Source organism: Homo sapiens, chromosome 12, assembly GCF_000001405.40.
Source record: "Homo sapiens chromosome 12, GRCh38.p14 Primary Assembly".
Lineage (NCBI taxonomy): Eukaryota > Metazoa > Chordata > Mammalia > Primates > Hominidae > Homo > Homo sapiens.
Window position 1 is genome coordinate 5604469 of NC_000012.12, and position 22908 is coordinate 5627376.

A 22908-nucleotide genomic window follows, 5' to 3' on the forward strand; every position below is an offset into this window, starting at 1 on the left:
AACTATGGATAGAGCGTGCGTCAGAAAAGTTATGGGATGGGATAGAGGGAAAGGAGCCTTCAAAGGACAAAGAAGGAGAGTCATGGGAACAGAAGGCAACTGTAAGACTGTGTGGCAAAGGCAAGGGAAGACACAGGGGCTACGGGAGGGGCTTTGTGATCAAAGTCCCATCCAGTGTGGGTAGGTCAAAACAAATGCAGGGGAAAATATCCACAAATAGTCCTGTGAATTTATCATTCCCAGATTTCCTCCTGGATATCCCAGTGACCATTAAAAAAAATAATAATAAAGGAAGTCCCTCCAGAGCAGAATTTAACAGGAATCCTGGAAGTTGTATAACATACAGATGGGCTTTTGGAAACCTTCAGATTACGATTCCGACCGTATGATGCACTCACTCATTAAAGTAACTCCTTTGATGTTACCCCCCTTGCTTTTCTTTTTTTTTTTTAATTTGCTATTTTTCCGTCCCTTTTTAATGACAAGTCTCAGAAACTCTTTCCGGAAGGCTCAGAGCATTCCCTCTGCCTGTGCCCCACAGGGTCACCCCAGGACCATGGTGAGTGTCCATCACACCTTGGGCCTCCCTGCAGCAGGAATCTGGGCCCTAGACAGGTCCCTACAGACGTGGCTCCACAGATCTTTAGCCTCATTAAATAAAGAAGGCAGAACCTAGCCCTAAATGACCAAAGATGAGGAACACATCCACTTCTAAGCTATGTATTCCTATTCCTTTTCCTGATACCTGACAAGGTTCAAATTTGTTCCTTAAACTTCTGATTTATGGCCAGATTCCACTGTATTTGAGGAGAACACAGACCTCCCTCCCGTGTTGGCTTTAAAGAGAGCCTGTTTTATGTCTGGAAATATAACATTTATCACATTTACAAAAAGAAAGCAGAAAGTTTATGAAATCTTACTAGCTGTGTCCAGGGGTACATTTAACAGCTATTTTTGGATATGATCTGGAGCTTTTAGTTAGAATAGAGATGGCGAGACATTTTGACCGTGGCAGTATTGATCTGTCTATCTGCTCTGTCTGTCTCAAAGCATGCCCAGGAAACAATGTGGTACGTGAAAAAGGTGGCATTTACCCTTTCACCAAAAACCCACCTCTCCATATGAGAAGAGCCCATTTCCAATTTTGCTTCGATGTGGACCGGAGCTAAATTTGAGATGGAATTATAGCAAAGAGTTGGGCTGTGGTGTGGCATGTGTTTCGGGGGCACTATGCAGTCTGGATCCAAAGTCTATTTTGCATGAACATATATGGGAAAGGCAAGGTGCAGGGAGGGGAGGAGGGAAATTCCCATCCATGGATTCAGATAATAAATACCACAAGATCAGATTCAGCCACGCTGCTCGCCATGTATGAAGTAATCTCAGAAGGAGATGCGTATGAACATCATCCTGGGGCCCAAAATGTTTAAAACCATCCGATCCTCTCTGGGAAGCATCGGCCACAACTGTGTCAGGCCCCAAGAGCCTGGGGTTGTGTGAGTGGGGACCATTCAAAGCCAGATCACGCAACCAAGTTTTATCTATTATCATGGCATTAGTCACAGAGCTGCCTTTCAAGTGCTCGGTGACCCCATTTTACTGCCTCCCTTTGAAGCATTTTGTTTCCCATCTCCAGGGTCTCTAAGCCAGGCCTAGCAATGATGGGGGCGGCTGCTGCCTGATGGAAGATGCCTGGACAGAGAGTGGGGCTTCCACAGTGGTCCTGTCTGGGGCACCTTCCAGAAGTAGAGGTGGCAGTTCATGTGACCCTTTGGAAGATCCTGCACTTGGCCTTGCATCTCATTAGAGGCCCTTGGGAAGGAGTTATTTAGTTATTTCCTTTGCTGCTCTTGTTCAGTCTCTCTCATTACCATCAAGAAAAAACATCTTTGGCTTGCTACTGGTATGCCTTTGACAACTGCCAGGGCTTGCACTCTCATTTTTTACAAAGAGAAGGCAGATCTTAGTCAGAAAGCCTTGGAGAGGAAATAATGTCATTGATTGTTTAATAATAATGGTTTGTTTTTGTTGTATTTCTTTTCACATCATTTCCTATTTATGGAAACTGATGGTGTTAGTTTTCCAATTTCAGAAATGTGAGGATTTTAATTAAAAAGCAAGTTGGTTTGGAGGAAACTAATATGCAAATAGCTGTTTGCATAGGTAATGGGGGGAAATTTAAAAGTTGATTAAAAAATGACTGAAGAGTGGGAAGCAATGTTCTAATTCAAGAAGCCTGCTAGATTGTAAGATTCTCAAGGCCATCAAAATTATGTTATTTTTTTCAATACACATACATGCACACACACACATGCATGTTTGTGCACACGCACATACAGAATCTAATGAGAATGTTGCACCCTCAGAGAAAGAGATAAATTATAGCTGACTACCTGGCCTACTAATAAGGGTCAATTAGACACTCTTAAACATTTAAAAATTTTCTTTGGAAGAATCTTAGAAAATTGCTTTTAGAAGTAAAGAATCAACTAAAGATGATAAATCTTTTAATTGTAAATTCTTATTACATTTTTATTCCCAAACATTCTTATCCAGCACAATCACCCATCTAACCCCCCAGACTTGCCTCTATTTAAAAAAAAAAAAAACAAATCTGGCCTTTAAAATGAATATGTACCTCCCTTGGGGAAAGAATTCCATGTAGGCTCTGAAGGTACATAAGAGCTGTACTGCCCACTAAAAGCCACTGAGCCAGGAACAGAAGAGAAAACGACTGTCCCTGAGTTGTTCTCTCCGGTTTCACTCCCTGGAGTCCCAACACTTCCAAAGCATCACCGTTAAACACAAAAGCCTATGCCACACAGTAAAATGTTGGCCACCTGGAAACCCCAAGAATGGTTCTTTTTTCCTCCGATGTCCACATTTTATGTTTTCTGGATAGCTAAGCATTTATCCAAGCTGGTTTTTAGTTTAGTTTTGTTTTAACGTAAAAACCTTTTTTTTTTTTAAGTTAGATGGCAATATTTCTAGAATAACTTTGCCAAGGTCACACAGTGAGTATATTGTAAAGCCTGGATTTAAACCCAGATCTGGTAGGCCAGGGATCCCCAATCCCTGGGCCACAGACCAGTACCCGTCCTTGGTCTGTTAAGAACCGGGCCACACAGCAGCAGGTGAGCAGCAGGTGAGTGAGTGAAGCTTCATCTGTATTTATAGCCACTCTCCATCCTCATTAACACCTGAGCTCTGCCTCTTGTCAGGCCGGTGGCGGCATCAGATTCTCACAGGAGCGTGAACCCTACGTGAACTGTGCATGCGAGGGATCTAGGTTGTGTGCTCCTTATGAGAATCCAATGCCTGATGATCTGTTACTGTCTCCCGTCACCCCCAGATGGGACTGTCTAGTTGCAGAAAAATAAGCTCAGGTCTCCCACTGATTCTACATTATGGTAAGTTGTAAAATTATTTCATTATATATTGCAATTTAATAATAATAGAAATAAAGTGTACAATAAATGTAATGCAGTTGAATCATCCCAAAATCACACCCCACTCCCCCGGTCCACGGAAAAACTGTCTTCCAGGAAACCTGTCCCCTGTGCCAAAAAGACTGGGGACCACTGTGTTAGGCCACCAAATCTTTGCCCTACAGATGTGTTGAAAACTACTGGGTCTAATTTTTATAATTTACATGACTCCTTCCTCACTGGCAGGCTCAATCATCATTTCTCTTCTGACTATGAAAGACTTTCTTTTTCTTGTTTATGTTTCATCTGTGTCATCCATGCCAGGTACTTCAACTCTGAGTTGAAGGGGTCTGATTTATTGAGAGTCGAAGATCCAGTAATCATAATCATAGTGATCTCGTATGACCAAACTCAAAATACAACCTTTATAATTGTACAAATTATAAAGAACTTTGGGGATAAAAGATCCTAGGATTTGGCAAAAGAATTTTTGTTCTACATCCTTGAATTTAACTACATAATTATGTTGTACACATCCTCTGGCAGAGTAGAAATTGAAAGGAAACATCTTTTGAAAGAGGGGTGGCTTGTATTTGGAATCAGCAGTGACCAGCTTTGCTCATTCGAGAGAAATTCATAGGGTGTTAGAGCTTGAAGACACCTTACATATGATTTTAATGCCACCATATTCATCAAGAGATGAGGACAGTTAGACTCTGAGAAGCAGCTTGCCCATGGCTTTATGAGTTACTGTGCAATTGCCATTGTTTAAAGGGTGGCATATTTTAAAACATACAAAGTATTAAGCACACATCAGTCATAAACAAGAAAATTTAGCCTTCAAGGCATACGCCATGTGCTATTTTCACCTGTTATGGGGTGGATGGAGTTGAGGGGTGGAGACATGCCAACGTGTTGTCCAAACACATGCCCGAGTTCTTGCCTCTCTTGTATTCTACAAAAGCCTTCTGGGTCCAGAGAGAATGGGCTAAGCTGTAGATCAGATGACCAGGGATGAAAGCTGTAAATAATTCTACTCACAGCAAAATAACAATGTACTGGGAAGGCTGGTGTTTTTCCCAGATGTTTAATTAGGATGAAGACTTTTCTTTATAGCAGTTGTGGAGGAGCTGGCCTCATGGTTTCAAAGGGGCCAGATGCGGCTTTGGTACCATCTGCATATTCTCTGGTTGTTTTTCCATAACAAATGATGTCTCTCTAAGATGGTAAGCTCCTAGAGAACAAGTGTCATCTGCATGGAACAAGAACAAGCATCATCTAGCTTTGCTTGACTTTATCACTGAGTGACTTTCTGTCAGAAAGCAGGGAACGGGGGGCACAGCTTCAAAGGCTGAATTTCTCAAGGTTGCTGACTTCCTGACTGATGACTAGAGGCTGGCTTAGGCAGGGAGGTGGAGTGAGGCAACCAGACACCAATGATCCCGCCAATCCTCCCCAAAGAAAATACATGCCCAAGTGCCCTCTGAGGTTGTCCCAGTACAAGGTCAGAAAAGCACCCTGCATGCTTAGATGACCCAGTGTTAGAAGGGAATGTTGTGGATTCTCATTCCTTGAAGCAGGGCTCTCATTAAAAATGATATTATTTCCAGGTAAATTAAACTGTCTCCATTATAACTTTAGCTCTACAAATATATTTTTGAGGAAGACCAAAAGGGAGCCTTCTCTGAGGACCAAGGGAGCAGGTGGCTGCAGTATAATTTTACATGGAATGGGGGATTGGGATATACATCCTTTAGTGGTTCCATTCAGCCCAAGCAACCTAGGACTCCACAATCTTTCGATAGATTTAGAGAGATTCTGGGCTTTTGCCCTTACCAGGTCCCTGACACACCCCAAGACCCTGGTCAAAGAACTGCCAGCTCATTGGGCCTTACCTTCTCTACCTGTAGCACCAACTGGGTCATAGGTGTTTGTGATAAACCAGAATTAGTCTATTGCTTGTTTAGAAAATGTATATATATATATATGTTTTATACATATAAAAATTTGTATATAAATTTATATCTATATGAAATATAGATATATTTTATAAAATGTATACATACATTTATGTATAAATATATGCATTTATATATTTATATATAAGTATATTTATCTATAATATATTTATATTATAGATAAATATAAATATATTATATATAAATATTTATGTTATATATAATATAAATATATATATTTATATTATATTTTATTTTTTAAGTATATATTACACATACTTATATAAATATATTTATATATACAAATTTATATTACTTATATAAATACTTATATAAATATATACTTATATAAATACTTATATAAATATATACTTATATAAATATATAAATGCATATATTTATACATAAATATATAAATGCATATATTTATACATAAATATATAAATGCATATATTTATACATAAATATATAAATGCATATATTTATACATAAATATATAAATGCATATATTTATACATAAATATATAAATGCATATATTTATACATAAATATATAAATGCATATATTTATACATAAATATATAAATGCATATATTTATACATAAATATATATACATTTTATAAAATATATCTATATTTCATATAGATATAAATTTATATACAAATTTTTATATGTATAAAACATATTTTATGTTTTATAAAATATATATAAAACAAATATATTTATATTTATATTTATAAATATATTTATATTTATATATGTATATATTTATATATATGTATATATTTATATATAAATCTCTGACCAGGGTCTTGGGGCATGTCAGGAACCTGGCAAGGGCAAATACATGTATGTGTACACATATATACATATATATATATATATATATGAAAATAAATAACATGGAAAAGGCCCAGCCTATCATGTTCATGGCCCAGCTGGCCCAGCCCATCAGAGTTGTCCATACACACACACACACACACACACACACACACACACACACACAACCCTAAGGGAAATTATTTCTATAAAGAAAATGATGGCAGTCCATCTTGTAACATATGATGGTGGTAGTCTTCTTTCAAGACACAGACACATCCTGGAACAAACTTCTCTGCTTTTTTTTTTTTTTTTTGAGACAGAGTCTTGCTCTGTTGCCAGGCTGGAGTGCAGTGGCATGGTCTCTGCTCACTGTACCCTCCACCTCCAGGGTTCAAGCAATTCTCCTGCCTCAGCCTCCCAAGTAGCTGGGACTACAGGCGCACACAACCACACCCGGCTAATTTTGTATTTTTTAAGAGAGATGGGGTGTCACCATATTGGCCAGGCTGGTCTCAAATTCCTGACCTCGTGATCCGCCCACCTCAGCTTCCCAAAGTGCTGGGATTACAGCGGTGAGCCACCACACCTGGCCAGAAACCTCTCTGCTTTTGAAGACTTCTTTGACTGCTCCCAAACTCCTGACCTTTACTTATTCTGAATTCTGAATTCATACATAGAATATGCGGTTATATGCAGTCTATTTTGTCTCCCAGACTAAAAAGTTAAGCTCTGAGAAGACAAGGGCCGTTTCATCTACATTTTTCTTTTACTGTCTTAGCCATATGAGCCATGAGATAGAGGCAGTGGTGTCCCCTGCAAGTCCCCCTACAGTGTAAACAGTGTTATTCCTGGTTATGTAGCTCAGGGCCTACTCTCTGGCCTTTAAAGAATACAGTATTCTCTGTCAGCCACTTTATTCTGAAACAAATGCCTTTGTTGCTTAAAGTAGCCACCCTGAATTCCAACTGCTGCAGCTAAGAACCCTGGGCAAACATGAGGAAATATATTTGGAAAGAAAGTGATTTTAAAAGGTTCATTATTGGAGGACTTCTCAAAACAATTAATGTATCTCTAAGAGGATGAAAAATGTGTCACAGAATCTTATGGGTCCTGTCTGACGATTACACCCATCCCAGAATGGTCATCTTTAAAGTGATTTTCGAAGAACCCTGGGCCTGGAACAAGCTGTCCATCCTATCCTCCTAAGCAGAACTGGCCCAGCCTCTCAGTTACCCCTGGGCATCTCTATCATTCCCTAGCTTTCTGATGCTGGGCTGCCTAAAAGCATCCCCTGAAACAGATTCTTCTTCAAAGCCACCAGGCAATAGGAAGGAAAAGCAGAGGGGGTTACATTTTTCTTTGACCTGTAAGCATATTTTAACTTGCTCCATCTTTCTTTCTTTTAGGTCCAGTATAAAGTGAGTCCGTGTTTATTTTCATGACTATCTAAATGCAAAACCTGATTGAAAGAAGTCCTATGACATTTTCATAAAACCCTGGGGAGCATAGGGGGGAATCCACATGATAATAACTCATTCACCAACTATTCCACCCTCCCCTCCTAAGATTATGTATTCCACATTTTCTTCGTATAGATTGTCCTAAATGATTCCATTACATTTCAATAATTCACATTCATCTATCCACCATACTGAACATCTCTTTTACTTACTCACTGAGAGGACAAATAGCATTAAGATATTATGCACTCTGGGGGCCAAGACATCTGACTCCTGGCTCTGCTACTTACTAGTTATGTGTACTTAAGCAAAGGGTAAATCCTTCTGAGCCTCCAACATCTCAAATCAGATTGGCAAGCAAAGTTTGCCCCATGGGGAAAGTTATTGGCAAATTGACAGAGAATTAAATCACCAAGCTGTCTAAGAAGAGGAAAGGCCATAGAAAACCTGCTGAAAGGCTGGCACTTCTGGGCTAACCCCTGGCAGCAAGGAGAGAGGTTAGAGGAGTTCATTACATACGGGACTCCAATCTCAAAGATGTTGTTCTGGATCAACTGCTTCCCCAACATGATGATGCTGAGCTGAATGCAGAGCTCCATGAGACAGCCCCCTGGAGCACACTGCAGGGAGAAGATAAGGAAAGGACCGGTTAGAACAAAAGGGAGCTCTGAGAAGCAGGGGCGCGAATGAAGCCATGCTGTGCTGGAGATAAGAATGGGGCTGGGTTGGGGTGCCAGGCATGAAACACCAGTGGCTGTACTTGCCTCTTCCATGCGGTAACCATCGAATACATAGACGTAGCTTCCAGGCCTGCCCACAAACCTGAAATCAAACAGTGTGGGAAGAGTTAGGGGAAGAGAAAGCATGCAGGGTGGCTCAAGGACATGTCTTCTGAGGGGAATACCACCACCACTGTCCTCTTCGAAAGCACTGGTCAGGGCGAGTGCTAGATCACTCAGGGATAGGAGTGCACACTGTTATCAGCAAGTAATCCCCTATAACACCTGGGGTTCACTTCTTAACCCAGTCAAATGTCAGACGATAGGAATAAGCTGGGCAGAGGATGAAGCTGGGCCTGGTGTGTGTGCGTGTATGTGTGTGTGTGTGAGCCTAAACACCATGCAGTTTGGATTATCTCTAAGTGCACTGTCGTCACACCTTCTTCCCTAGCTGGTGTCAAGAACACAGCTCTGGTTGCAACTCCTTAGTAAGAGTTTCTGATTCCCAGGAAAGCGAGGGTGAGATGGACTAAAGTTGCGAATAGAGATTCCTGGGGTCAGAAAAGAAAAATCTTGACTTCTTGCTGAAAATATTCAAAGGAATAAAAGAAGCTTGTCTCATTCCTCTTCTAAGTAGAGTCTATTTTATTGGGGGACAATAAGACTGTGCAGGTCGGGGAAGCAAAACAGTAAAAGCCCACCATGGAACCAGACAGACAATCAGAATAATCCTACTTACTTGCAGGGTCATCCCTGTGTTCACCTGTTGAAATCCTACTCATCCATTTAAGGCTGTGTAAGCCTTTCCTTTGCTGAAGTCTTCTTGTTGTCTCCGTTCATAACTGTTCCCCCAACACTTTATTTATACCTCTTATTAGATCACTTACTGGATAGAATCACTTACTGGAGATGATAGTGTGCTGTTGCTAAGGCTATCTCTTCTAGTATAGCACAGTTCTTCTAAGCCTCAGGATCCTTTTTTCTTGCCTAAAACGTCATATGCATGTAATTTGCTACTGCCACGAAATCGACATTGAAAGCACCAATGAAGTGTATACTTCTTAATATGGACAGTCTCTCTGCTTCCATAATTTCATGACAGCCAAGGGGAGAGGTCCTGAGAAGGGGGCTGTGGTTTGGATGACAAACACCTCTGTAAGAAATTATCAAGTGTGGATGATGACAGCTCGTGCTATTAGTGCCTGCTTAATGAACTTTTAGTTCTAGGGAAGCTTTCCTGATGTTGTTGGTTGACGCCTATTGGGAAATTTCCTTGTAAGTAGCCAACTGGCTTGATCATAAAAAATATTTATCAAAGTGATTTTACATCCAGACTGACTGTAAAATAAAGAATTTCACTGGCCTTTGTCCCCGATTCCTGCATGAACATCTAAATCCTTGGAATTTCCCTCCATAGGAGTATCTTTGTTATTCCTGGCAGACCCCTAGGACTATACCTAAATTTAGGCTAATGAGATTACTCAGGATGGGGGCAGGCCATGCCAGAAAGATCAACCATGTTGGTTGAGGCTCTGAGTCATGTGATACTAGCCCAATCTCAGGGCAAGGGAAGGGCATTGGAGATCGAGTTCACTCACATGGCAAATGATTCCATCAATCACAAATGACTGATAGAATCACAATCCAGTGTGCCAGGAGGGTGACACATCCTGAGGACATGGAAGCTTCATGATTAAGAACCTCCTAAACCTGGCTCTATATGTCTCTTCCATTTGCTGATTTGGATTTACATCCCTCTACTACTATAAAACTTCAGTTGTAAGTATAGCACATTTCTGAGTTCTGTGAGTCATTCTAGTGAATTATTGAATCTGATGGAGTAATGAGAGCTCTGGAATTATAGCCAGTGGGTCATAACTGCCGGTGGCCTGAGAATCCCAGAGCTTGCCACTGGTGTCTGAAATGAGGGAAGTCTTGTGAGGGGCCGTGCCCTTAACCTATGAAATCTGTATTAACTACAGGTAGTTGGCATCAGAATTGCATTACAAGATCCAGGAGCCACTGGCTAGACATGAAATTCCCTCCTGCCTCATCCTCAAAGTTGAGAGACACAAATTCTTTCAAAACTCTCTCTTCAGGGACCACAGCCAAATCCCTGTAAAGTGCCAGGGTCATCAGAGTCTGAAGATGCTAATTCAAAATGATTGCCTGCTAACATTCCTTCTCCATGGGAAGGCAGGTGAAAGTGGGGCGGAGAAGGGGCTGACGCTGAGTGGACAATGGGGACAGGCTGACCCTATTGTCCTGACAGTAGAGAACCCAGTCTTAGTGGCAAATTGCCTTTCTACACATGACACCATTATACTCACCTCCCTTTGAAAAAGGCCACATAGAAGATGGGGGAGTAGGCATTGACAAACTTGAGCAAGAAAGCTTTGAGGATCAGGCGCTCTTCAAAAGTCTGTTCTGTTTTCGGAACCTCTGTAAGAGAAGAGCGAGGCTGATGAGATTGGGGTGAGATTTCTCACCTCTCCAGAGTTTTGACCTAGACATGAGCTACTATCTCTCAGCTGACTCCTTCACAGCAAAAATCACGAGACCCATCTCTCTGGCACATTAGAACTGAAGTCATCTGGGAGGCCCCAGGTGGTCTGCCAGGTAATACGAAGTTACAGAAGGATAAAAAATATAGGATCACTGTCTTTCTCCGTCCACCTTCCTCCTCTTGTCTACTCAAGGAGTGGTTTCACACCGCCCTCCTCAAAGAGGGCCATGAGCATGCAGAGCTTGCAACCACCCCCTTTTCTGCACCAAGGGGAATTCAGTTTTCACCTGTGTCATTTCCACTTCCATGAGATTTTACTTGAACCAAGGTCCCTGGTCAAAAAGCTTATTAGCCACTGAACTAGAGTTACAAGGGTACCATGACTTGATTCCTCTTTCTCTCCTTCATTTTTAGCAGAAAAAATGCTGAATGAATTTGAGCATTAATTTGGATGAATGCAGGAAAGCATTCATCTGCATGTCCTGTGGGGAACCTAAGACACTTCCCAGTCATACACTCAAATGATAAAGGCTTGTCATAGACAAGATGAGTGAAACAAACAGCTTGAGCCTAAGGTTTGACTCATAGGTCACGGGCCCTGGGTGTTCTATCAGATCCAAGCAGAGGAGTCAGCTGGCATTCCCAGAAGGACTCAGAGACACTGAGCAGAAACCTCAGAGGTGCCTTCAGAAGACTAGAGACACAGGAACCAGTGGACAATGGTTCAGGACACTTCCAAGGGACTCCACAGACAGTGACAAATGGCATGACAAGGACAAGAGGTGACAGGGTGATCTTAGTCCATTTGGGATGCTATAACAAGCTACCATAAACTGAGTGTTCAAGAAAACCTGGCATTTACTTCTCAAATTCTGGAGGTTTGCAAGTCTGAGATCAAGGTAGATTTGGTGTCTGGTGAGGGCCTGTCTTTTGGCTTATAGACAGCACCTTCTCACTGTCCTCTCATGGTCAAGGGGAAAGGCATCTCTCTCAGGCCTCTTACATAGGACTCTTTCCCATGTATGTGTGCTCTGCCCTCATGGCCTCATCACCTCCCATACACCACACCTCCTAATACCATCACCTTGGCAGTTAGAATTTCAACATAGGAATTTTGGGGAACACAAGTATTAGGCTTATAGCACAGGGCCACAGTCTTCAGAGGTAGAAGAAAAGCACTAATACTACATCATATGGACCAAGAAGCACAGCCTGAAAGTGGACTAAGCACAGATACATGACAACAGGGCCATGCCAGCTGAGGAGTTCTGCGTCCAGATGAGACTAGTGTATGGGCCCCCTAACTTGCCTGCTCCACAAATTCACATATAGCTTTTGTAGGAATCGCTGAAGAAATGGACACAAAACTTTGTTTCTTCCAAGGAATACCCTTCCCTCACCCATCACCTTATACAGAAATCCTTTATATCCTTTAATATATAGGTGAGTTACTACCACACTCTCCAGATCAGACTGTACAACACTCTCCAGATCACACAGTACCACATCCTCCAGACCACACAGTACCACAATCTCCAATTCACACCATACCAAACTCTCCAGATCACACAGTGCCACACTCTCCAGATCACACCATAACACACTCTCCAGATCACACAGTACCGCATCCTCCAGACCACATAGTACCACACTCTCCAATTCACGCCATAGCACTCTCCAGATCACAGTGTACCACCTTCTCCAGATTACACCGTACCGCACTCTCCAGATCACACTGTACCACACCCTCAAGATCACACTGTACCACACTCTCCAGACCACAGTGTACCAACCTCTCCAGATTGCACCATACTGCACTCTCCAGATCACACTGTACCACACCCTCAAGATCACAATGTACCACACTCTCCAATTCACACCATACCAAACTCTCCAGATCACAGTGTACCACCCTCTCCAGATTACATCGTACCACACTCTCCAGATAACACTGTATCACAACCTCAAGCTCACACCGTACCACACCTTCTGGATCACAGTGTGCCACACTCTGCAGATCACACTGTACCACACCCTCAAGATCACAATGTACCACACTCTCCAATTCACACCATACCAAACTCTCCAGATCACAGTGTGCCACCTTCTCCAGATTACGTCGTACCGCACTCTCCAGATAACACTGTATCACAACCTCAAGATCACACCGTACCACACCTTCTGGATCACAGTGTGTCACACTCTCCAGACCACACTGTACCACACCCTCAAGATCACGATGTACCACACTCTCCAATTCACAGCATACCAAACTCTCCAGATCACAGTGTGCCACCTTCTCCAGATTACGTCGTACCGCACTCTCCAGATAACACTGTATCACAACCTCAAGATCACACTGTACCACACTCTCCGGATCACAGTGTGCCACACTCTCCAGATCACACAGTGCCACGCTCTCTTTCCGGAAGCGTTACTACATGCCTTCAGCAGGTAGTTATTTTTTTGTTTTCTTCCGTTATGCTTTATATGTCCCTGTGTTAACTACCCACACCCACGCCCTTTGAAAATTGACAATAGTCATTATCACTGATTCCTCAGTCCATGTGTTTGGATTCTCCCTAAGGCGAGGATTTAGGAGGAAGTGGTTTATTTGAGAGGGGCTCCCAGAAAGCTTTGTGAAGGAGTAGGATGGTGAGAATGAGGAAAGTGGAAACCTAAGATAAATGTGCTCATGAACAGGTTAATGCTGCATCAACTGGGGTTCAGTCCCACTGGAGACCTCCTAAGAAACTGTGTGAAGCACACCTCCAAATTTGCACACTGAAAGGGGAGACCAAACAGGAGCCCCTCCCTGCCTGAAGGTCACCTTTGGGGCTAACTCCCTGGCTCTTCCAGCCTGTCCTATGCACAGGTGAACCTGCTCCCACAATCAGAGAACGCCCATAGACAGAGAGTGGGAGGAAGCCATTGGTGCAAAGAGGAACCATCTGAAGGTCACCTCCAGCGTGGGCCAATGGGAGGTGGGTGCTGCACAAAAGCGTCTGCTCCCATCCTCTGTGTATGACAGAAGGCATCATACGTAGGTGTGCACTGTCATTATCTCACTTAATCCTCACCTCCCTGGGTGAGCGAGGTATTACATTTCACTTCTGTGGATGAAGGGAATTGAGGCCCAGAGAGGTTACAGCCTTGCTCAAGATCACACAGCAGATAAGTGACAGGTGTAAGATGTGAACCCAGATCTGCCTGCCTCAAAAAAACTAGTTTTTAACAACACCACTTTTTGCAATCAGAATGTCTGACCCATTATTGTTTTCATCAAACACTCTCTTTCACCTCCCCACTTTCCACTCCCAGTCTAACCTGATGCGCCTAAGAAATATTTGTACTTGGCAGGTCACATTCATCAAGCACCAGCTGTGTGTCAGGTGCCAGGCCAAAATGAATGAAGTTTTCCCCTTCCTTCAAGGAGCTTCACTGAGCAAGGTCTCTGTGGAGAGGCTTTTGCTCACTGCCAAGTCTCTCCCAGATTGACCTGTCAGCAGCAGAGTATCATCTCCCGTCTCATGGCAGAAAGAGTCTTAGGGAAAGGCTGCATTGCCATGTTCCAGTTTCCCACACAGCACAGTGAGCCCTTAATTCACTGCCAATCCTACAACACTGTCTTCAATATTAGGAGATGATGCTGCTGGCAGTGATGACTGCTCTTACTGGTGCATTACCAACAACCCTCTCACACTGCACAACTGCATGTGTAAAGATGGCCCTTTAGAGGAAGATCAAAGCATGTAGGCCTCCCCTGAGTCTTGGAGAGCCTCTAATGTGTCCAAGGCTTGAAGACCACCAATGTAGGGGTCTCTGTATGGGGACTAAGCTGCCAGAGAAAACTCAATGGGATTGAGAACTGTAGTGAATAGGATTACTTTGCCGAGCATCTTCAACCGCATAATGCATTGTTTAGGAAATACCGTATTTGGTAAAAATGTTGTAAAAGATTTAATAGAAATATAGGTAGACACGTACAGATTTTAATATTAAAAATTCATCTATAGCAAGGGTTATTGCAGGAAGAATAACGCTGGAGGACAAGAGCAGACCCACAAGAGTCCTACTTGTGTGAGGCCTCCCCAGCCTCCTGGGTGAGATAGGGAGGCAGAGATTGGCCAGGGGCTCATCACACGCATTCCCTCCTCCTGGATACACAGCTAGATGGGGGCAATATGAAGGAGCTGTGGCCAGACAGACATGAGTGGAGGTGGCGTATGCTGCTTCCAAGCCTGGGCCTTAATTTTTCCTGTGAGGTCCTCTGCTCTCTCTATCTCTCTTCCCTCATCTCCTGTGGAAAATGTCAATAGTACCACTGGAAAGAGGAAGCCCAGATTCCTGAATTGCCATGTGGAACGCTGTCCTCCAAACGTCTGGCTTAACTACAATAGAAGCAAGAACTAAATATTGGAGGTTTACAACATTTCTCCTGAATGTGCTCCAACATTTAGACGTGCTGAAACTGAACTACTGCAGCTGGCGAGGGAAACTGGGACAGGCAGGTCCTGAGGTACCACTTGTAACTTTCCTAAGTGAAGAGAAAGACTTGCCCCAACTCAAGGCCTCGTAAAGTATGGACACTGTTTCTGAGCAGGCCCAGAGGTCACTGAGGGTGGCTAGGGCCAAAGTCCAAGGCCTATATGCCTGTTGAACCAGTGGTCAGTTGTAGGTGAGGAGAAATGTGTTTGAGAGAAACAGTGTTTGAGTGTGACACTCTAATACCGTCTAGTATAAATCACTGGGAATTGATGCCAACATTATCCAAACAGCACATCCTCCAAAACTGAGCAAGTTAAACAACATTTTGGAGTTCTAAGAAAGACCTGCAGTAATTCAGAGAGGAAATTTCTAAGCTGTAGATACAGTAGTAAAACAGTATTAGTGGAGAAAGGCAGCAGAGCCAGGGGACCAACAGCATCTGTCATAGTCCAAGCTTGATCAGAGACCTATTAAAGAGACAGGCAGGGGTGAGACCCTAGGACCCACAGCCCTGGGAAGGGACTTGAGAGTGGGAAAGCTAAGCGATCCTTTGGCGCTACTTTGCAAAGAGCATTGCCCGCTAGGGAATCTGGAGACAGCAGTGTAAATCTACAGGGGTTGAATTGGAATTCTACAGGGGTTGAACTGGAATTCTACAGGAGTTGAATTGGAATTCTATAGGGGCTAAATTGGAATTCTATAGGAGTTGAATTGGAATTCTATAGCAGGAGTTGAATTGGAATTCTACAGGAGTTGAATTGGAATTCTATAGCAGGCGTTGAATTGGAATTCTATAGGAGTTGAACTAGAATTCTATAGGAGTAGGAAAAGCCTTCCGTGATATTCCTCTGCTGGTGGAAAGCTTTGTGGTTTTCTCCTTCCGGTCCTGCCTGGGTGGGTATGGCCCCCCGAGATAAAAGACCTGGGTGATCCTGCACTGCTTCACCAAATAATCATCTGGATAATGATCTGTGCTCACCATTTACAGCTAGCGCTGCCGCTTCTGTCATTTCTTCTATAGTTATGTATGTTAGCAAATGCCCCATAAGATCTTTAGCTTCTTAGGCCTTTCCCCTCTCTGCCACCAAGAGGCCAGGTCCTCCCTGCCTGATTTGTGCATATCAGGTCCTCACCAGCCTGAACGTGCCACATCCCCATCTTTGGCCTGATTCTCATTCCCCTTAACTACAGGAGACAATTCTGAGGCCCAGTGGAAGTGTCTGCCATTGAAAGGTCACTTTCGGTTTCGAGATCTCATCACTCTGCACCCTCATGTGACTCTGAACCCTCGCGCTCGCCACACTCCCACTCTTGCCCCACCCCCGCATACAGTTTGGAGGGCTTCTCTCCATAAGCAAAGTCCCAGAGAGACATCTTCCAGGCAGACCCCAGCTATTGCCAGATGTGCTCTACTATGAACATGCATTGAATAAATGAATGAGTGAATGAATGACAGGAAAAATGTGTTTGGAAGAATGAAAAAAAATTTTGTCCCATATTAAAAATTCCCTGTCGTATTCCAAGGAGGACAAATTCTAAGGAGGGACGTCTTTTTCTGAGCAGATGACAGGTGTAACCATATGACAGGAGCAGCCAGAAGACTCAAACTCACCGACCTAACATAAGAGGCGGGGGTGCTGGAGTTGGAGGCAGGACCCGGAAGGGTGAGGGCCAGTGCGATGGGAGGGGAAGGGCAGAGAGGAAATGGACTGACAGGTGCGGGGAGGGCCCGCTGGGAATTTTCATTAAGTGCTGCTGTGAGGTTTGCAGTGTGACCTCTTCGTGTGCCTCTCCACAGAATCTTCAATCATGATTCCTTGAAATTGTTCTGGATTCACTCTTGGGGGACTGCTGAAGGACTGGGTTCTACTTCCAGATGAGCATGGGGAAGGAGCAGAGACTGATCTGGGTAACCAACGAGAGAGATTAGGGAAACAGGCAGACACCGTGGAAGGCAGAGGAGGAGAAGAGGAAGAAGAAAGAGAAGGGAAGGGGGAAAAAGAAGGAGGAAGAGGGAGGAGGGATGAAAGGAAAGGGAAGGAAGAAAGGGAGAACTTTTCAATAGGATGTTTTTTCTTTTTCTTTTTCCTTTTTTCAATAGGAATTTGAGCCTCTGTCCAGGGTGCCTGAGGCATCCAATTTAACAACAACACAATCACATCTCATCTCTCTTAAATATTTTGGGGGCAAGAAAATTTAAGCCCATGTCACCTAAAAAAATAAGTAATCAGATCTGAGGGTCCGAAAATTTGGAAAACATATCTTGAAAACATATCTAGAAGGTGATCAGGATGAGATGTGGAGTGGCATATGTCTTTAATTTTATTTTATCATCCCCTTTGAACTGTGTGTCCTCAGATCTCCCAGTCCCTACAGCAATTCCCTCCAAGTTCCCTGCAAAGAGGATCTAGTCATTTCAGAGGCCTTTCCTCCAACTGGAAATGAGTGATTCCCTTCCTCCATACTGATAAATCATAGGCCTGGCTATTATTTATGAGTTTTACTTCTAAAAAACAGCCTGTGCCTGTGCTTTAGGGCCATGAGCCACCATAAACAAGGAGCATTTCCAATAAACGATCCAAATCCATGTGACAGGCCACAAAATCAGCTCGGTGCCCCAGCTTGGAGCAGCTCTGAGTCACAGTGTGTGCTTGGCCGAGACTTCTGGGAAAGGGGCCTCAGGGAAGCACCTCCCAGTGAGGGAACAAATGAAGGTTTGAGGCAAGGAGGGATGCCACAGCCTGGAGTGCCACTTTGACTTTTGGATCTCTCTCACAAGCCAACACAGAGGGCCTCACCTGCCTAGGACAGAGACTACATGGCTGAAGAAATGGAGCAAGTGGGCAGGTGCAGTGGCTCATCCCAGCACTTTGGGAGGCTGAGGAGGGCAGATCACTTGAGGCCAAGAGTTTGAGACCAGCCTGGCAAACATGGCAAAACTCTGTCTCTACTACAAATACAAAAATTAGCTGGGCGTGGTGGTATGCAGCTACAATCCCAGCTACTCGGGAGGCTGAGGCGTGAAAATCTCTTGAACTCAGGAGGCAGAGGTTGCAGTGAGCTGAGATCGTGCCACCGCACTCCAGCCTGGACAACGATGCAAGGCTCTGTCTCAAAAAAAAAAAAAAAAAGAAACGAAAAGAAAGGAAGGAAAGAAATGAAGAAATGGAATGGAGCAAGTGTTTCCAGAGGCCAGGTGGGGTGGGGTGACATCTGAGGTTCAGGAAGGGCTGTCTGCATCTCAGGCCACTAGGCAGGATTCCTCATAAGACAGACTTCTGGAGGGGTCTGAATCTCAACCCCATGAAAAAATGGTCCAGCCTTGTGCTTTGAACAACTCCAAATAAAGTACCTTCAGATTGCATGGCTATGGGGATACGATGGAGGGGAATCTAATGGAGAGAGGGTGAGGAGATAGGCAACCCTCTCTATTATTCACGTGCCCCCTAACATAGCACCTCCGCCGGGAAGCACCCCAGGTTGATTAGAGGCCATCTGAAAGTTTCACCTGCTTCCAAACTGTGGAGCAGGATCCCAACAAAGAGGGCAGACTCCACTTCCCGCCAGAAAGGACAATCGGGAATTTCTGTGCAGAGCCATTCCCACCATCAGCCCTTTTCTTTTACGTGTTAATCCTCTGCTGCATCGTGTCATGAAAAAATATGAGTGCAAATGACCCAGCTGTAAACTGCCTTGGAAAACAATTAGTATGAAAGCCCAGCTTCATCCCAGGGGGCCAGCTCAGGACTGAAAGTCCCCAGAGCTCCATCTTAATCCTATGGAAACAGCATGGCCAGGAGAGGACGCCAGCTGCAGGCTCTGAATCTTGGAAAAGCAGCTCCTCCTGACTGGTGTCTTCGACAGCCCAGCTGGCAAATGCATAACGATGGCAGCAAAAAAGAACAAGAAGATGCCCAAGCAAAAGTGCCTGCTCTTCCCCTTACCTCTCCCTAAGGCAGGTCATGCCTTTGCAAACAGCAATGTTTGCTGACAGCACAACCAACTGGGCTGCCCTTCATTTGGGAATGGGGGGTGGGTGGAGGGACTGTCTGGGTACCTGGTGTCATGCTGTTGCCCTGGTAGTGCCATGGGTAGGGTGGAAATCACCCTAGGAGAAGCCAGCCAGCTGGGTAACAAGGCAGCCAGCGCATGACCTGAGGGAGCTGAAAGCCCCTGAACTGGGGATCTAGAGGGTGTGCCTGAGATACTCCTGTGGCCCAGAGAGCTTCCTAGCACAGGGGGCCTATCCCTCAGAGTCAGAAAGGTAACTCTTGCCCCTATGCAAAGGAGCATGAGACCTACTGAGCTGGCTAGCAGCCTAGGCCAGGGTGACAGCACCCCCAGCACATCTCCTTTTAAGAAAAAAGGGACCTAAACAGGAAGGGAGCACTGGAGAGAGAGAGAGAGAGAGAAACAGACAGACAGACAGACAGAGAGACAGACAGACAGAGGCGTATTCTGTTATAGGCCAATCATGAGAATCCTCCTATATCCAGCACCTACTATGTGCCAAGCACCATACAAGCACTTGACAACTTCCCTAAGATTTTTCTCCCTGTGACAAGGACAGGAGTGAGGAGAGAGCAGGAAGGTGTGCCCTGTCCCTGATCACAGACACCCCCAACACCCCTGGGTCATCTGGCAAATGCACACACTGGTCTAAAACCTGAGGGAGGAGGCATACGGTCAGTCCATTCTCAGCCCACCCCTCATGTCTTCCCAGAGGAAAACAACCCACAGGAAATTCTCCTGCCTTTCCCACCATTATCTTTTCTCATTCGACAAATATCTACTGAGGATGATCATGTGCCTGGTGTTGGGCCCCAGCTGTGCAGTGGTGGACAATCCAATCAGCTCCCGCCGTGTGGAGCTCCCAGTCTAGAAGGGTGAGGGCGACAACTGCAACCGTTTTAGATTTAGAGAGCGGTGAGTGTTGAAGGAATATGTAGTGAAATGAGAAGCAGAAGGAAAGGGCGATGGGAAGGCTGTTTTGGTCAGAGTGGTCAGGAAAGGCCTCTGAGGAGGTGACCTCTAAGCTGAGACCTGCAGGGTAAGGAGGAACCAGCCCCAGGGGCTGGGGAGAGCTCTAGGGGGACGCATCAGCCTGGGCAAAGTCTTGATGGAGAGCCCCAAGGCTGTGCAAGGAACTGGCCAGTCCACACAAGCGAAGCATCCTGAGCCTGGTGGAAGTACTGGGAGGGGGAATTGGAGAGGAAGGCCGGAGAGTAAATGTGTGGCTCTGTGAGCCACAGGAAGTACAACGGGAAGCTGTTGTAGATTTCTGAACAGGGGAAGGATGTGACAAAATTAAATTTTTAAAAAATCACAGAAAGTGAATGGTGTGGGGGGGAGTGCGGCACAGAGACAGAAGTGGAAGCAGACAGACAAATTGTGAGTGTGTTGTTGTCCAGGCACAAACCAGTCAATATGAGGATGAAACTTGTGAAAAATGGTCAGATCTGGGATATGTTTGAAGGTAGAAAGAACAATACTTACCAGCAGACTGGATCCTAGGGGTGAGAGAGAGAGAGAGAGAGCTCCAGGGAGTGAGAGTGCCAGGGAGAGAGAGAAAGAGAGAGCCAGGATAGCACTTGGACTTTGAAGTGAGCATTTGGGTGGCTGCTGGTGCCATCTCCTGAGATGGGAAGAATCGGTGAAAGGCACCAGGTTTGGAGGAAAAATTAAGTTCTCAAAGTTGGACACATTAAATTCTTGGCCCCTATGCTTCTCCTTGGCCCCTGTGATTCTGCTCCCCAAAACCCAAAACCCCCAAACCCCAGCTCATGACCCAAGGCCATTAGAATATTGTTTGAACCGAGAATCATCCTTCGAAGTAGCCAGCCAGCCTGGAGGAGTCAGCACCTCAAGCAAATCCAAGCCTCAACGTCAAGGTTGGACTGGGTGATTTCCCAGGTTCTTCCTGCTTCTGGTCTTCTGTGCTCTACAATATGATTCACGAGGCTTTGACGGAAGACTAGAGGGGGACTCTGGGCTGGAAGTCAGAAGACCTTTCTGTCTAAGAGTCCCCAGATAAGGGAATTTATCTTTCTGAGCCTCAGTGTCCTAATTCATAAAATGGTACCTTCCTTCAACATTTGTTGGGAAATAAAGCATGGAAAGCATCAAGCATGGTGTAAGGGCTCAAAGATTTGCTCTTATTTTGATGGCACAGCAAGGCACTGCAGAGATTTGCACATTTGTTTCCACTTCCTTAGTAAAAGAAGTGTTAGCAAGTTAGCTAAAAATCCCCTACAGAGCTCTCTTAGAAGGTTGGGGAGTGCATTTTGGCATCACTTGGGGTGGTGAGGTCCCTAGGAATCTCGCTGAGGGCCAGGGAGGTGAAATAGGCAATCACAGGATCTGTTGCGTTTTGAAGATTGAAGGTGGCAAGCTGTGTGCTCCCAGGGTGAGTTCCCAGGGAGAGCAGGGGCCCTTGCTATGGGTCAGGGTGTCGGATGGCATCCTGGAGATGCGGGTGGAGGTAACATATGTGTCCTAGAAACAGGAAACCCTGACAGCTGCAGCCCCTAGACTGAGCCCAGCCTAAAGGAGAAGACTGTCCTCCCTGGAAGAGCCCATGCTGTCCAGGCCTGGAGTACGGAGGGGCCACCTCAGCCGCAGTCCAGCCTCTCCCATCAGAGGGGTGGGGCTAGTGTCCAGCAGCAATGTTCCATAGGAGTGAGACCCAAGGAGCGAAGGGCAGGTTCTACCCAGGCATCTCCATGTTTAACTTCGGATGTTGGCCTGACCCCTCTACCACTGAGGATTGCAGCAGGAAACAATTCCCCTTGGATGGTTCAAAGGAAGCGACTCTAATGAAGCCCTTACTCACAGCAGTGAAGAGACAAGGAGAGGAAATGGCATGGCTGATGCCCAGGAAGAACCAAGAGGGAGAATTCATCCTGCAAGAGCTGCAGTTATGAAGAGATGAATTTTCTCCAGAGATGTGGGAGCATCAGGGAGAAGCAGAGGAAAACACCCCAATTCCCTAGTGAGGGAGAAAAGGTGCAAACAAAGGAGGAGCACCACAGCCCTTCCTTCTCTTCTGGATGCTTTAGTCCCTGGGCTCCTAGAAAATCCAAAGAGAAAGACAGGAAGATATTGGACTTCTTGCTAACAGAAGAGATGAGTGCTGCAAGGACTTTGCAGGGAAATGAGAGATGTGTTCATGGTCACAGCTCATGTCTGGGAAGGAATTCTTACCAGTTACACTGTGTTCTAAACAGTAGAATTACTGACCATAGTCTTACATAACTGGTAGGGGTGCTCCACATACTTGGCCTATAACCGTACTCACATCGTTTTATTAGTAGTCACAGCCTCCTGCCATCCTCTCTGTTTCCCAGACAACATTTAGAATAATTTAAGCCAACATCATGGAGGGGGTCCCCCAACAAGCATAGAATCCCCCCTGGCCAGACCCTGGGAGGTTCTTTCTCCCCCACTGCCTGAGGCCACCCAGAGAGCCGGGAGCCCCAGAGAGCCAGGATCCTGGTGCAAAGCAGGAAGAGAATACAAGCCAGCAGA

The 22908-nt window shown here is 44.8% G+C and overlaps 1 protein-coding gene across 3 annotated transcripts in view; it reads right to left on the reverse strand.

Annotated features, from left to right (window-relative positions):
- Positions 1-22908, reverse strand: part of ANO2 (anoctamin 2) — a 383578-nt gene that overhangs the window by 41814 nt on the left and 318856 nt on the right. For all 3 annotated transcript variants that reach the window (NM_001278597.3, NM_001364791.2, NM_001278596.3), the window contains 3 exons: positions 10718-10829; positions 8433-8490; positions 8188-8288 (listed from right to left, as the gene is read on the reverse strand). In NM_001278597.3, coding sequence (NP_001265526.1) covers positions 8188-8288; positions 8433-8490; positions 10718-10829 — 271 coding nt within the window. The remainder of the gene's footprint in view (positions 1-8187; positions 8289-8432; positions 8491-10717; positions 10830-22908) is intronic.